The 16,553-nt window shown below is 39.5% G+C and overlaps 1 protein-coding gene across 7 annotated transcripts in view; it reads left to right on the forward strand.

Annotated features, from left to right (window-relative positions):
• The window catches only part of HSD17B12 (hydroxysteroid 17-beta dehydrogenase 12), a 299,895-nt gene that overhangs the window by 281,832 nt on the left and 1,510 nt on the right, over positions 1-16,553 (forward strand). For all 7 annotated transcript variants that reach the window (XM_024448573.2, XM_047427074.1, XM_024448571.2 and 4 more), the window contains 2 exons: positions 1,447-1,512; positions 16,163-16,312. In XM_024448573.2, coding sequence (XP_024304341.1) covers positions 1,447-1,512; positions 16,163-16,312 — 216 coding nt within the window. The remainder of the gene's footprint in view (positions 1-1,446; positions 1,513-16,162; positions 16,313-16,553) is intronic.

The following is a 16,553-nucleotide window of genomic DNA, read 5'->3' on the forward strand; positions in this document are numbered from 1 at the left end:
AGAACCAGAGTTGGAGACATACTATATACTTACAATAAACTTAATGTAAACTTACAAATGGGACACCAGGATATCAGATTCACAGATGCTGTTTTTCTCCCCCCAGCACTCTACTGATTTTGAAAGTGATACTTGTGCCTTCCATAGACAGGTGACCTAGGCAGATAGCTTAGTTAATTAGAACATGATGTTAATGAGTCTAAGATTGGAGATTTGATACATGAATGAGTCCACTTCACACAGCATAGAAGAAATGCATCTAGTCAATGTGTAAATGTACATAGCAGGCACAAGATAGACTGGGCGAGAGTGTATTTTGCCATGTTGTCCAGGATTCATAGATATTCTTTGTCACTTTTGGGGTGAGACAAGAATTTTCCAGAACTCTCTGGACAATGTCATAATTTCATACAATATCACCATTAACCTCTTCACATTACTGATAGGAAAGTAATTTAGAATGAGTCTCCTACTGCCTGCAGGTCAATGGCGTCATCTTCAGATACATTGTTGAGGCATTGAATACATCTCTGAAGGGAAAATGATCACTTAGATGTTGAAATTAAGCAGGCTTTTAGGGAAAAATAAACAAAAATATGTACAGTAAGAACTTGAAACATTTCAGGGAAGGAAAAGAGCAAAACTCCGACTTCTTTTTCATGTGAAAAAACAGTCACCACTGTCTTTTGAAAAGCTTGGTACCACCTCCCAGCCCCTACAATCTACTTTCTGTATCTGGGAACATACTGTAGGCAAATTTAAAATGAATGCCATGTTTCTTGAAGGGATTCGTGAACTTCAACTTATCTGTTCTACTCCATGGCTACAAAACTATGACTAATTAGGACCCTTGAAAAGTCACTTGATTCTTTGCATTTCTAGTCTGAGGTTGCGTCCACATTTGAAAAATGGCACATTGTATTTTACAAATAGATTTAAGGTTGTATTATCAGAAGAAGATGGGCTGTCACATTCACCTCTATACTTCTTGGATCTTGTCATCCCAAAGCACCAAGAGGATGCTTGTTCTGTTCTTTTTAGCAACAACAAAATCCCCATAGAACAGAGTTGAATGGACTTCATCTTGTGTTTCTATTTGAGTGGCAAGTGGAGAGATGAAATGAGTCTTTTGTTATATAAGAGAAAAATATTTTTTCTTGGAAAGTAATTTTCTGAGGGGAGAAAAAGATAAGAAAAGCCTTTTCCAGTTAAATCAAAATTTGATCTGGATATTATATTTGGTAATATAATACTTCATTTAGTGGCAGATAAAAACAGCTTGAGGTTTTCAGGTGTTTTTCTAAGTTCTCTTCTGCGTTTGAAATGAAAAAAATGATGAGAAATTATAGCATTAAATGATTAGTTTATTATTTTGTTTCCATGGCTACAAATCAGGCAGATTGATGTAATGTGTGTGTTTTCTTCTCACTCCCACTCCCCTCCCAGACTTTTGTAGATTTCTTCTCTCAGTGCCTCCATGAGGAGTATAGGAGCAAGGGCGTCTTTGTGCAGGTGAGTGGAGTTTGTTTCACTTAAGTATCCCTGTTTTTGTGTGGTTTCCAGAGCAACTGTTGCTGTCTTGGCAATAACAAAAAAAATCATATTCCTAAGTAAGTGAATGTGACATTAGCACACCATTAAAAACGTGGTTTCTTTTTCCTTAATGCACTTGTCTAGATTTTTAAAAAATTATCCCCTAGAATTTTCAAGTAGGGATACCTAAAGTGGAACTAAATGCAGTATAAATAGCTGAAGCATACTTTTTAAGTTCTTAGGGTTTTATTTTGAGAGACCGAGACTATCGGCATCTCTCTCTTTTTTAATTGTGGTAAAATAAACATAAAATTTACCATTTTCATCATTTTTAATATGCAGTTCAATGGCATTAAGTACATTCACATATCGTGCAACCATTGTCACCGTCCATCTCCAGAACTTTTTTCATCTTCCAAAACTGAAACTCTGTACCCATCAAACATGAACTCCCCATTTCCCCTTCCCTCCAGCCCCTGGCAACCTATCTATCTCTATGAATTTGACTACTCTTAGTACCTCATATGGGTGGAATCATACAGTATTTGATCTTTTGTGACTGGATTATTTCACTTAGCATGTCTTCAGAGTTCATCCATGTTGAAGTATGTGTCGGAATTTTCTTCCTTTTCAAGGCTGAATAAAATGCCATTGTATATAGACCACATTTTGCTTATCCATTTACATGTTAGTGGGCATCTGGGTTGTTTCTACCTGTTGGGTATTGTAAATAATGCTAATATGAGCATGAGTGTACAAATATCTCTTGCAAACTCTGTTTTCAATTCTTTTGTATATGTATACAGAAGTGGAATTGCTGGGTCATATGGTAATTCTGTTTTAAATTTTTTGAAGAACTTAGCTATTTTCCATGTCAGCTACACCAGTTTACACTTCCACTGGCAGTGTGCAGAGTTCCAGTTTCTCCACATCTTCACCAACACTTGTTATTTTCTATTTTGTTTGTTTTTTATAATAGCCATCATAACGGGTATGAAGTGGTATCTCATTGTGGTTTTGATTTGCTTTTCCCTGATGATTAGTGATATTGAGCATTTTTTCATGAGTTTATTTGGTCATTTGCCTATCACCTTTGAAGAAATGTCTATTCCAGTCCTTTGCATATGTTTAATAAAATCGTGTTGTTTGGTTTCTTGTCATTGGGTTGTAGGAATGATCTATATATTCTGGATGTTGTCCCATTTTAGATACATGATTTGCAAAGATTTTCTCCCACTTCGTGAGTTGCCATTTTATTCTGTCTTTAGTCTGCATAATATCTTTTTATTCACAAAAGTTTTTAATTTTGATGTAGTCCAGTTTATCTATTTTTTATTTTGTTGCTGGTGCTTTTGGTGTCAAATCCAAGAAATGCTTGCCAAATCCAGTGTCATGAAGCTTTTCCCCTGTTTTCCTGTAAGAGTTTTCTAGTTCTAGCTCTTTGATCCATTTTGAGTTAACTTTTATATACCTTTGAGTTTATTATGTAGCTAGCAGATATAATGCTGTGAAAACACAAAATATGAGAGAAAGCAAATATAGGAGTTTTGATGGTTGGCAATTTCAAATTAACCATTCTTCAATTGAAAGAAATAGTATTTCCATGCTCAGGCACTTTTAAAAAATGTCTTGGGAGAAGTTGCAATTTGTACCTCTTTGCTGCTCCTGCCTATCAGCTACCCCACCTCTGTGCACGTCTGGTGTTCATTGTGGCTTTCATTCCTGTGAGGCAAGTATTTCACTTTTTGTATCCTGAAGCCACAAATGATCGATCAAAATAATAATAGTGAATATTTGAGTGGATACTTTTCAGGTACAGTGCTAAACACTTTAATATGTATCATTTCACTGCATCTCATAACAATCTCATACAATGGTGTGATGATGATTATTATTATTTTTAATTGCAGAAATTGGGGCTTAGAGAGGGTAAGCCACTTGCCCATGTTGAACTGGGACTCAAATCTGGGTCTGTTTGGCACTAAAGCCTTTGTTCTTAACCACTAGGCTACTTGCTCCAGGCCTGTAAGTCAACATTGAACACTTACTGGATCCATCTGTGCTCAGGGAGTGATGGAACCAGAAGGTGGTTGGTTAGTTCCATTTCCTCCTTTATGCCTGTAGAGCATCAAGATGGGTGTAAATGTCATGTAGATGTAGCTTCTAAACCTTTTTATTGAGTAGATACTGGTGGGAGCTAAGTCACCTACTGTGAGATAGAATGGTAATGAAAGGAAGGGGGGATGACTGTTTCCTCATCTTCCAGGATCATCTAAGAGCCTGCTTCCTCTAAACCCCGACCTGAGCTTTCATCCAAGGGAAGCTTAGATGTCATAGCCACTTGGTGTTATTTCTGACTTGCAGCTTCCCATATGTATAGGTTTCATTCGGAAGGACATGTGTTCTAGAATCCTGGATTTTATACTAAATTACTGTACTCTCTTTTTCCCCTTTCCTTGACACCAGTCATTTTAATGTTAGTAATGCGAATGTTCTATGTAGAATATGTTGTATTTTAGTAACAAGGACACCAGTAAAATGTTCTTGAGAAGCTATTACATTCCATGAGAAGGTATTCATGGGAAGGTATCACATGCCAGGCAATGGTATACCATTTTCTTTCTGATGAATCTAATTGTAATTACACTATTAACTGAATAGTTTGTAAACACCTATTGCGACTAGGCAGGAATCCTAAAAAGGTCCATTGGTGATTGACTATAAGCAGAGTGACCAGAAGCTGTAAGTGTCTCAGTGACAGAAGGTAGCATTAGGCCTTGTGAACAGACAATCAATTTCTAAAATTCCGTTAATAAGCAAGACTGTCTCCTCTCTCATTCTCACAACTTGTTTCCCTCAAAGATCTTTTCTCCAGATTTTCCACCTAGTAATCTGGTGTGACTAGAAGCTACTGTAAAAACACATTAGCATTTGTCTTCTGAAATATTTTATTTTGATAAACTTTTGTTTTTCCCTAATAATGAAGTATAAACTGTCATTTCATCTGTCATTGTGTTTTGTCATATGAATTCATTCAAGGTTTAAACTTTGAATGAATTTGATGAAAAAATAAAGACTCAAATGTTTGTGAGGGAAAGCACAGTCGTCATTCTGTGTGAATACATCAGAATGTTGAAGTAGAATAGAAAGAGAACCTCTTATTAATTCTGATCAAAGGGGCAAAAAAAATGTAGTCTAAATGAAGCTCAGAGTTAAAAATGATTGGTTTTTCTTTGGCGGTGTTTATGCCCACAAATTTTTTGGACTAGGAGTATTTATCAGCTGATTCTGCCTCGTACTCCAGCCCACACATGTTTCCTGGGTGATCTTATTAAAATACAAATCAGATAATGTTGCTTTCCTTCCTAGTCCTCCAGTGGCTGCCCATAAGGTTTAGGATTAAATTCGAACTCCACAAGGCCATCTCCTTTCTTGCCACTCCATTGTCCTCCCCGACGTTCAGGCCAGAGTGGACATCCCAGTGTCTAGTACATGCTCTGCCCTCTGAAGTGCCCATGACTGGCTCCTCTGTTGGCATCCTTTCCCCAACTCCTCTCCAGTTCTTCTCACTGTATCTCCTCCCAGCCCTATTTGCACCTGAACCCTATGGCTGCTGTCCCTCTCTCAAGGCTTGGGCCACAGTTCCCCTGCCCTGGAAAGCCTTCTCTCAGCTCCTTGGCACATTTGGTTAGGCCTTTCTTTGGGCTCTCGTTGGAGCTCCTTGTATACCTCTGCCTGCTACTGTCTGGCCCTTCCCTGTCTCCCCACTTCCATGTATTCTCGAGAACAGGGCTTTTTATCTTATTTGTCTCTGTGTTGCTGGCGGCACTTGTTGTTTGTGGTAAACGGGAGACCCACCTTTTCCATGGCATCACAGAAAACTCTGGTTGTGCATGGTCAAGCTTTGTGGTACACAGGCATCTGTTTTGATGGCTTTTTGAGCTTCTTCTATTGCTCCCATATGCTCCTGGCCTTGAATTTTCAGCCTCTTTATCTGAATGGCTTCTAGACTAATGCTATGTGGCCATGTTTCCATTTTTTTCTAAGCCTTGCAAAGAATGCTATCTTTTTAGGTCTACCTCCGTGTGAATGTACATCAGATTGCTCTTTTGGGGAAGGAAGAGGGTATATTGTTCAAATTCTAGATTGTTTCAGATTACTTCTTAATATTTTTCTTTTGCATTTCTCTCCCCATCTTTCCCTCAACTTCTTAACTTCTTTCCTATAATTTTATAAGATCATTTAAAATTGCCTTCAAGAATTCAGATTTGCCATTATATAATCATTTCCTGGGAATGCAAAAACACAGTAACAACAACAAGTGATGTAAATGCCCTGGAGGTGAATGATGGGCCTGAGAGACTATTTGATTTTGAACAGAGGATGAGAAGCACATTCTCAAGGAAACCTTATCATAAGTGTAGTCTGTTGATGAGGACTGTTTGTTCTCATTACCTTATAATTAAAGTCCAGTCAAAAAAAAAAAAAGACACTTGTGTCTTTCAAAAGGCAAAATTATTATAAGTAATTTGACTGGCTAGGTAGTGGGCCCTAGCCCTGGGCTCCTTCTGTCTACCCTGTACTGACTAGCAGTTAATACTGAGCAAGCAGGAAGTAGCTAAGACTAAGACTAAATCCTAAAACTATACCTCTTGAACTCTTATTCTGCAAAATTTTCATAAGCCTTCTGTTTTTAAAAAAATTATTTGGAAATAATTTCAAGTCTACAGAAAAGTTACAAGAATAAAAATAGTGCAGACAATACTCTGATACCCTTTGCTTAGATTTCTTACTGTTAACATTTTACCGCATTTGTCTTATCATTGGAGAGTAAGTGCAAACATTATGGTCCTTCAATTCTAAATTCTTGAGTGTGTACTTCTGAAAAATAAGGGGTTGTTTGTTTGTTTGTTTGTTTGTTGTTTGAAGACAGGTTCTCACTCTGTCACCCAGGCTGGAGTGTAGTGGAGCTATCATGGCTCACTAGAGCCTTGACCTCCCAGGCTCAAGTGATCCTCCCACCTCAGCCTCCTGTGTGGCTAGGACCGCAGGCACATGCCACCAAGCCTAGCATTTTTTGTTGAGACAGGGTCTCACTTTGTCACCTAGGCTGGTCTCAAACTCCTGAGCTCAAGTAATTCTCCCGCATTGGCTTCCCAAAGTGCTGAGATTACAGGCGTGAGCCACCACACCCAACCAGAATAAGGATATTCTCATATGTAACCACAATACCCGTATCAACTCAGATTTAACAGTGATACAATAATTTTATCTAATGTATTATTTGTGCCCAATTTTTGATCTTACAATATTCTTTATCCTCTCCTCTTCCTCCACTAAAGAATGCAATCTAGGATCAGGTGTCATATTTAGTTGTCCTGTCTCTTTTATTTCCTTTAACCTGGGATATATCTAAAACCTTTGTGTTTCATGACAGTGACATTTTTTAAGAGTACAGTATTCCTCCTTTTTAATTATACATTCCTCATTTGGGGTTTCTTTGATGCTTCCTTAGAGAAACCCAAAAGTGAGATTCGGATTATGCTTTCCGGGCCAAAATATCACATATGTATGTGATGTTGTGTCGTCAGGGCCTCACGTGGGGAGACACAGAAGATCCATCTGCTCTTCATTGGTGGCGATGTTTCTGATCCCCCACTCTAGGTGTTACCCAACTTCTCTGCCATATAATTACTATTATTTCCCTTGCACTAACAAGCAACTGTGGGGAGACCCTAAAACTGTGCAAATATTTTGGCCCTTATCAAAATTTCCCCTAGATGTAGCATCAGTGATGTTTCTTCACAAACCTGCCTCATAAAGAGATTTTTGATGCTAAAGAATTCCTGAAGCCCTGCCTGGATATTTCGTCATTTCAAAATGAAAAGTCACAGCTAAAGCATGGTCACAGTGTCCTCAGTCCAGGCTGTGGTTTTATGAAAACTGCATTGGTCATCGGTGTGCCTTGAGGCAGAGAGGAAAGGACACTGAGCTTGGAGTCAGCAGACCAAGGTTTGAGTTCTGCCTTCAACATCCGGTGATCATCTGACCTACAGAAAGTTGCTTCATTACTTTATGCCTTAATCTCCCCTTCTGGCAAGTGGGATAAGTGATGTGAGATAAAAGCACTCCAAGCTGGGAAATGATATATAAGGGTGAAGAAGAGAGGAAAGAGACTTATATTCATTGGATATCTACAATATGCCCAAGTTTTCACCTCATTTGTCAACTCATTTTACATAGATATTAACCTAGTCCCATTTTACAAATAGGAAACAGGATCAACAGGAGCCCTGTGCTGGGCACGGTGGCTCACACCTGTAATCCCAGCACTTTGGGAGGCTGAGGCAGGCAGATCACTTGAGGTCAGGAGTTCAAGGCCAGCCTGGCCAACATGGCGAAATCCCGTCTCTCCTAAAAATACAAAAATTAGCCAGGTGTGGTGGTGCATGCCTATAAACCCAGCTACTGTAGGGGGCTGAGGCATGAAAATGGTTTTAACCTGGGAGGCAGAGGTTGCTGTGAGCTGAGATCACACCCCTGCATACTAGCCTGGGCAACAGAACAAGACTTTGTCTCAAAAAAATAAAAATAAAGAGGAGTCCTGAAACTTGCTTAAAGTCAATTTAGTTTATCAAACAGCTCCTGCCTGCTATTTATTAGACCCTTGGCTAGACATCTAGGAAACAAAGGTAAATAAGACCCAGTCCCTGTGCTGAAGGCACACACACACAAAAGACAAATATTTAAACACATTACACCCACAGTAAGTCCAAAACTGGAGGTATATATCATGTTCCACATGTCTTCAGTCAAGAAATATTTAGAAAGCACCTAATAATCTGGCAAAAGGCACACAGAGCCTCTGCTGTGGTTGAATTTACATTTATTGGGAGGGAGACAGACATTAAACAAATCCACAAATAAGACAATTGTATAGAGTGATACGTTCTCGAGAAGAAACTAAAAAAGAGTGATATGTTCAAGAACATGGGGAAGTGTAGAGAGAATGTACTGATCTTGGTGTGAGTAACTCCGTCTGCAGTGCCATCCTGTTTCTCAAAGAGGTGTTGCTCTCCGTCACGCAGTTTCCTTCCTTTGACCTGGGAGGCCGGGTCTCTGGAAATGCTCTTAACAAGGAGATCATCTGCCAAGGGACACCATCCCCTGAGGTTTTCTTTACCAGAAGAAAGGTGGGGATGCAGATAGAGGCCATCTAAACCCAGAGAACTTTCAGCTGCCCTGAAAATGAAGTGGACTTTTTCATTCTTAGCAGGAGATTACAAAAGAATACTCCATTTACATTTGAACTTATTGTCCTGAAGAAATCCTCTGGGCGCCATGCACGGTGGCTCACGCCTATAATCCCAGCATTTTGGGAGGCCAAGGCAGGAGGGTCGCTTGAGCCCAGGAGTTTAACACCAGCCTGGGTAACATAGTGAGACACTGTCTCTACAAAAAATAGAAATACATTAGCTGGGCGTGGTGGTGCATGCCTGTGGTCCCAGCCACTCAGGAAGCTGAGACAGGAGAATCACTTGAGCCCAGGAGGTTGAAGGTGCAGTGAGCTGTGATGGTGTCACTGCACTCCAGCCTCGGTGATGGGTGGCAGAGCAAGACTCTGCCTCACAAAAAAAAAAAAAAAAAAGAGAAATCCTCTAGGCTCCATTTGCTTGTTACTACTTTCCAGTGCCTTTGTCTTGGTGATGAGAGTTGGTGGTTTTGTTAGTTCAGGTAAAAGTGTAGTTTTTAATCAGAATAGACTTGATTTGGGTTAATCCATGAAATTTAGAAAACAAATAGGACAAATTGAGATGAGAGAAAACACAATTTAAGAATTTTTTAATGAAAGAAGATATTCCTTCTTTGTATTTTTGTTACAGTATTTTATTGCTTAGGGTATTCATATAGTTCTATTGGGCTTCAAAGAACTAGAAAGCTAAATATTGAGAAACGGCTACCGGGATTACAAATATAAGTCTCCATCCTTTCTTCCTGTTAATTGCCAGTGACTATGAAAGGAGTTAATAGAGTGTGTCTTTTGTGCATATGGAGTCTAAATAGGGAGAGTTATAAAGCAATATAAAGATTCTCGCTGGAAATGTTCATGTATGGCCAACTATACCAATTTTGAAAAATGGCTTAAGAATAGTAAAATTAGTCCTTTTGGGCTCATTGGACTCAGATCCCTTCCAACCAGCTGAATCTCGATTTTTTCAGTGATCTCCTTTTTTCTTGGCCATTTACAACAGTGTTGTACCACAAGACCTACAAGCTTAAGAGGTCCCTCCAAACCATTACATGTGTGTCCAGGAGAACTAAGATATTCAGTTGGTTACCTCAACAGTCAGATATTCTCCATGGAAAATGGCATTCTTATGCGTCTTATTGGATATAAAAAGTCAGCCAAGCTCTTCTTTCCAAATTCATTCTAAAAATATAGATTTTGGAAAACTTAGAAAATAATTGCTAATACATACTAAAGTTTCAAATCCCACACTCTTTAACTGATAATATTTTATTTAATTCTCATGATAGTATAATAAGGAAGATTCTATAGCCTCTAATTACAGAGGAAGAAACTAAGGCTCAGTCATTGAGTGTTTTGCTCAAGATCACACAACTAGTAAGTGGTCAAGCTGGAATTTGAATCCAAGTTGGTCTGATTATAACCAATGCTGATTTTTTTTTCCTGTTACCCTACCACCTCTATTTTCACATCCCAAACTTAATCCTTTAGGAAATCCTTGCAGCATACCCACTATTTGACTACTTCTCATGACCTCCACTACTACCACTCTATCTGAGCCACCATCATAGCTTGTCCTGGACATTTTGCAGTATCTTACTATCTGGCCTTCCTACACCCATCGTGGTTTAACAGCCCCTATAGCCTACTCATAGCAGCCAGAATGATCTCTTTAAAATAAAATCCAGCTGGGCACAGTGACTCACACATGTAATCCCAACACTTTGGGAGGCTGAGATGTATGGATTGCTTGGGCTCATTGAGTTCAAGACCAGTCTGGGCAACATGGTGAAACCCTGTCTCTACAAAAAAATTAAAAAATTAGCCAGGCATGGTGGTGTGCACCTGTGGTCCTTGATACTTGGGAGGCTGAGGTGGGAGGATGGCTTGAGCCCGGGAGGTGGAGGTTGCAGTGAGCTGAGATCGCACCACTGCACTCCAGCCTGGGTGACAGAGCGAGACTATCTCAAACAAAACAAAACAAAACAAAAAAATCCAGTTACTTCACTGCTATGCTAAAAATTCTTCCTTGGCTTCTCATCTCTTTCACAATGAAACCATGAGTTTTTATGACCCTCAATGTTCTGATTTCAAACTTCCACGTTATCATGTCCCCTCCCCACCTTCCTACTTCTGTGGCCTCCTTCCAATTCTGGAAACACTTTGAGGATGCCTTCACCTCAGGGCCTTTGCACTTGTTCCTTCAGTCTCAAAGGCTCTTCACCCAGATATTCTTTTGGCCAACTCCATCTCTTTGTTCAGATCTTTGGTTATAAGTCACCACATCAAAGGGGCCTTTCTTGAGAACTCACCTGCAGGCTCAGCCTCTATCAGCTCTTTTACCCAGGTATTTTTTTCATCTTGCTTTTTTATCATTGCCTGCCAATACTGTACACCTTTGTTTTAATTATTATTTGTTTGTGGTCTATATCCTCCTACTGAAATGTAAGCTCTGTAAGATTAGGGACTCTGTTTTTATTCACAATGAATTTTATTCATTAAGTTCCCATGCCTAAAACATTGTTCTAGTAGGTGCTCAGGAAATAGTTTAGTGTTAAGTGAATGCCTTTTGTGAGATTACACTGTTTTTCTTTTTGTTCCTTGAATGTTAACATACAAATTCCACATCTTTGGAGGTAGGTTATTTACAAGATTATCAGCCAACATTTATCAAGGATCTTTGTGTAGAGCACAATACTTTGAACTCCTTCATTTTGGATTTAGATGCTAAGATTTATATGTATTGTTATTGCAGGGCCTTTTTTCATTGCTATATAACCAGGGATCTCTGCACCAGCAGAACAACTCCTTTTTCCTAAAATTTCTAGAAAGTCTAAGGGTTTCTGCCAAGTAGATAATCAAGGGCCTTTATATGGAAAAGCTAATTTCGTGGTCTGCAAGTAAAGTAATACGCACTCCAAAACTATAATATAGGTGTATAATTATTTAAGTTTTTGTATACCAGATCCTGAAATCGTAGATGAATACACAGATTTCAGGAAATGGAGTTTTCCTAATATTCTTCATAGGAGCCCCAGCTTCTGCCTTAAGAGTGTGTGCTGGCTACACGGTTGAATTTAATGCTCGGTAAAGGCAGATGTGACACCATGTATGAAATCTCATACTGTGCAAATACACTAGACCCTAGTGTATTCTGGGTCTTCATTTTCCCAGGTCATTGTCATCTGATGTTCTGGTCATTTTTCAGTTGAAAAGCATGTTTAGTACACAGATGATGACACCTGAAAGATGCCCTACCATGTTAAGTTCCAAGGTTCAATCCCTGATTCTTGAATATCTGCCATGCAGTTTCAGGCATCTTTCTTTCCACTACTCCATGGCCATAAGCCTTCCTCTTCTGAATCAAGCCCCCTGAATTGTACTGTGCAGTCCAGTTATCTAAGCAAGCTGCTCCAGTGGGTGAGAAAAAAGATACCAAGTTGTCGGGCCTGGTGCGGTGGTTCATGCCTGTAATCCCAGCACTTGGGAGGCTGAGGCAGGCGGATCACCTGAGGTCGGGAGTTCGAGACCAGCCTGGCCAACATGGAGAAACTCCATCTCTACTAAAAATACAAAATTAGCCGGGCGTGGTGGCAGGCGCCTGTAATCGCAGCTACTCAGGAGGCTGAGGCAGGGGAATTGCTTGAACCAGGGAGGTGGAGGTTGCAGTGAGCCGAGATGGCGCCACTGCACTCCAGGCTGGGTGACAGAGCGAGGCTCCATCTCAAGATACCAAGTTGTCTCCAGTGATTTTATTTTTTTTATTTTTATTGTTTTAAAATAGGCTGAGCAAGGAAGCACCAACAGCTTTGCTTTATGGCCTAATTAATTATTTGCCATGTGGGAATGCTAAATTTGAAGACCAGGATACTTGCCCACATCTGCAGCTCTCAAGGTCAGGTTGTTTCTGAGCTGGCAATATTTGTAATGGGAACTTGTTGAAATTGAGCAACTTGAAAAATCTGTTCTGCCCACAATTTCCTATAAAAGTATGAGTATCTTCTTGACCTGTTTCCCATAATGTTTTCCTGAGTAAGCAGGAGAAATCAACTAATTATCCCTTGTTGGGTTTTTATTTAACAGTTGAAGGGTGTACCTAGATGGCTTTTTGATATCTAAGATATTTCTTTACTTTCATATAACTTGGAATATTTATTTTTAAATCATTGGCAAGTAGCTATAAGTATGCCTGTTTAGATAGGTGCTCTTATATATGCTTCAGAATTTCTAAAATTTTGGCTTAAACATTCATATTATCAACTTCTTGGTGTAATTAATTTTCTGGATCATAGCAGTGGAAAGAGACCCCAGTACTCTTCTTCGGTGCTGTCCATAATGAAGTGTCTTTCACCAATTCATTCAATAGATATTAATTGTACCCCTGCTATGTACCAAGTACTGTTCTAAAACATTAAAATATATGAATATGACCAAGCCTTCATGGAGCTTGTGTTCTAGAAATGGATACTGCCCAGTGATTGGATTCAGTTTTCTGTACCGTTTTGCCTCCCTCCTGCCACTCTTCACACATTTCCAACATTTGAACCATCCTGAGCTATGCAGTTCCCTGAAAAACATCATGCTCTTCTGTGGCTCCTTTTCTTGGCTCCTGCTGTTCCCTTATTTGTTTACAATTAGGGAAATTCTTGCACTTCATTTAAGACTTAGCTCAAACGCTGTTTCGTCTTTGAACCCTCCACTAGGCCATGTTAACTGCCTTGATTTTAAACCATCGTGGAAATAAATATACTTTCTAGAAAAGAATTTACATTTCTTAGCTGGAAAAACATAACCCAACTTGGAATTCCTGAGTATGCATCTCTTGTCCCCACCCCTTGATCTGGGGGTTCTCTAGACTAGCTCTATGGTTTAGCTGCATGAAGAGTTAACTTGTGGCACCACCAAGTGGTTCAGTCAGGCAGTGCAACTTAATTCTCCTACAAGATCAAAGTAGTCCAATTTATACCATGTTACATACGAAGGGAGGGAAGAAGATGGCAAAAAGGATGGACGAAAGGAACAAAAAATTATAACGCAGTTGAGAGGTATAATGATTAGACCATCTCTACCTCTAGAAGCTCAAAATCTTACAATACCTTTACCAGGCTTGTGATCTATATTTGGGTTTTTTTTTTTAATCTTCACTATTTTGTGACCTTTAAACCTAATGCATAGAAATGAGAAATGGTTTGCTTATGTTCCTTCATTATGTGAGATCAGAGTATTTACATATACTCTTTCTTTCCTTACTGCTCAACTTTACTCTGGGAAATAACCTTTTCTTTACTGACCCATTGTGAGAGCCTCACTGAACTCTGCATTTCCTACTCAGTCTGAGTCGGAGATCTCACCCTAGTGTGTGCTCTCATAGACTATATCCTTGTGGCAAAATGGTCCTTAAAAGATGTGACAAAAAATTTTTTTTTCTAAGTGAGGGATAAATATATAGTGATAATCCCAATAAACAAATTCTCAGAAATCAAAAGTTACCTAATCAAAGTTGGCTCAAATATTGAAGTACTTCATACTTAGTATGAGTCTGTGGCTGCAGCAACAAGGAAAGAGGAAGATAGAGAGTGACAGCACTCCATCTGGGGTTCTTGGTTCTAATGAAGAGGCTGAGGTTTCATCTAACCTGTCAAGGAGAGTGGGTTGCATTCCTTGACTTAGACTTCGGAGTGGGAAAAATGCAAAGCACACACGTACATAAAAACCCAGAGACGGCCGGGCGCGGTGGCTCACGCCTGTAATCCCAGCACTTTGGAGGCCGAGGTGGGTGCATCACAAGGTCAGGAGATCGAGACCATCCTGGCTAACATGGTGAAACCCTGTCTCTACTAAAAATACAAAAAATTAGCCAGGCGTGGTGGCGGGCGCCTGTAGTCCCAGCTACTGGGGAGGCTGAGGCAGGAGAATGGTGTGAACCCAGGAGGCGGAACTTGTGGTGAGCAGAGATCGCGCCACTGCACTCCAGCTTGGGGACTCTCGCTGAGACTCTGTCTCAAAAAAAAAAAAAAAAAAAAAAAAAAACCAGAGACATGGGACCACTCCTTCTAGGTCTCAGCAGGACGGAAATCCATAGAATGGAACAGATCTCAATTTGATTGAAATTTTAAGATTTTGACCACCATGTGTTAGAACCATTCCTTTTCTTTAATGGAAGTGTCATTGGGCCAAGCGTGGTAGCTCACACCTGTCATCCCGACACTTGGGGAGGCTGAAGTGGGAGGATCACATGAGCCCAGAAGTTTGAGACCAGCCTGGGCAGCATGTTGAAACCTTGTCTCTACAAAAAAAATTTTAAATTAGCTGGGCATGGTGGTGCACACCTGTGGTTCCAACTACTCAGAAGGCTGAGACAGGAGGATCCCTTGAGCCCAAGAGCTCAAGGCTGCAGTGAGCTATGATCGTGCCACCGCACTCCAGCCTAAGCAACAAGCAAAACCCTGCCTCAAAAAAAAAAGAAGAAAAAGAAAAAAAGAAGTATCATTGCAGTGATACTTCACACATGTGAGATAAACAATACATTCACTCTTTGTTGAACTACCATGCCCAGGTTATTTCAAACTACAGAAGGACCTCTTGTATCATGACTCAGGACTTGTTACAATAGGGTTTCCTTATACTCTGTGTTGAATCACATCCAAAATGCAGCAAGCTTAAGCAATAAAGAACCTAACATTATTGAAGTTCCTCTAAAGGTCATGTCCAGATTTGTCACCCTACACCCATCCAGTCAGGTGTCTTTTAGTTACCCAAACAGTTTCCATATTGTTAGACTGTGTTTCTTCTAAAAAAGAAAAAAAGGGAGGTGGTTCTATCTTATCAATAAAATTGTTTATAAAACTCAGAAGTAGAATGGTGAGAAACTAGGGAAGAAAAGTAGTAACGCAAGTCTGAGAAATAAGATGTCTATTTTAGAAGGATCAAAGCTGATAGAACAAGCTTAATTAGCCATAAATTATGGAGAAAGTTGGCATTATCCCATTAGAAGAATAAAGTATCAAAGATCTCCTACTTGGTGGTTCTGTCTCAATGTTGAGTTTACTAAGTGTGAAAAGTATCCTATCCTGAATCTGTGCTCTCTGGATTATTTAATGCTTTCCTTTTTAAAGGTTCAAAAAGGTAGATTTCTGCTTATTTTTAATACTTTCTCTGGTCTCAAACTCTGTTTTATTGAGAGATTGATTTGTTACAATTTGTTTTATGGTATCATGTGTTCTATCAAGTTGGCTTTAGATAGCCACTTCTCTTTTCTTCTCTCTCTGTAAAGATACAGATGTTTCTACCACTAAGAGCAGTCAAGCACCACTGTACATTCTGAGTTTGTGGCCTTACTAATCAATGGCATGTTTTCTGGGGTGGGTGTTCCCTTTCTAGAGTGTCCTGCCATACTTCGTAGCTACAAAACTGGCTAAAATCCGGAAGCCAACTTTGGATAAGCCCTCTCCGGAGACGTTTGTGAAGTCTGCAATTAAAACAGTCGGCCTGCAATCCCGAACCAATGGATACCTGATCCATGCTCTTATGGTAGGTAGATTTTTTGAATCACAAATCAATACTTTCTGGCTTGGGGTTTCTTTCCCATTGAGTTACAGGATAGTATGTAATAGATTAGCACATATACATTGTCCAGCCATAGTAACAAGATATCTATATCTTGTTATAATTATAATGGTCGTATACCCAAGAACTTTAAAATCTACCTATAAATAAAAACAACACTATAATAAAACATTAAATCATATGCTTCAATTTAGCCCAAATTGTA

Source organism: Homo sapiens, chromosome 11 (genome assembly GCF_000001405.40).
Source record: "Homo sapiens chromosome 11, GRCh38.p14 Primary Assembly".
NCBI lineage: Eukaryota > Metazoa > Chordata > Mammalia > Primates > Hominidae > Homo > Homo sapiens.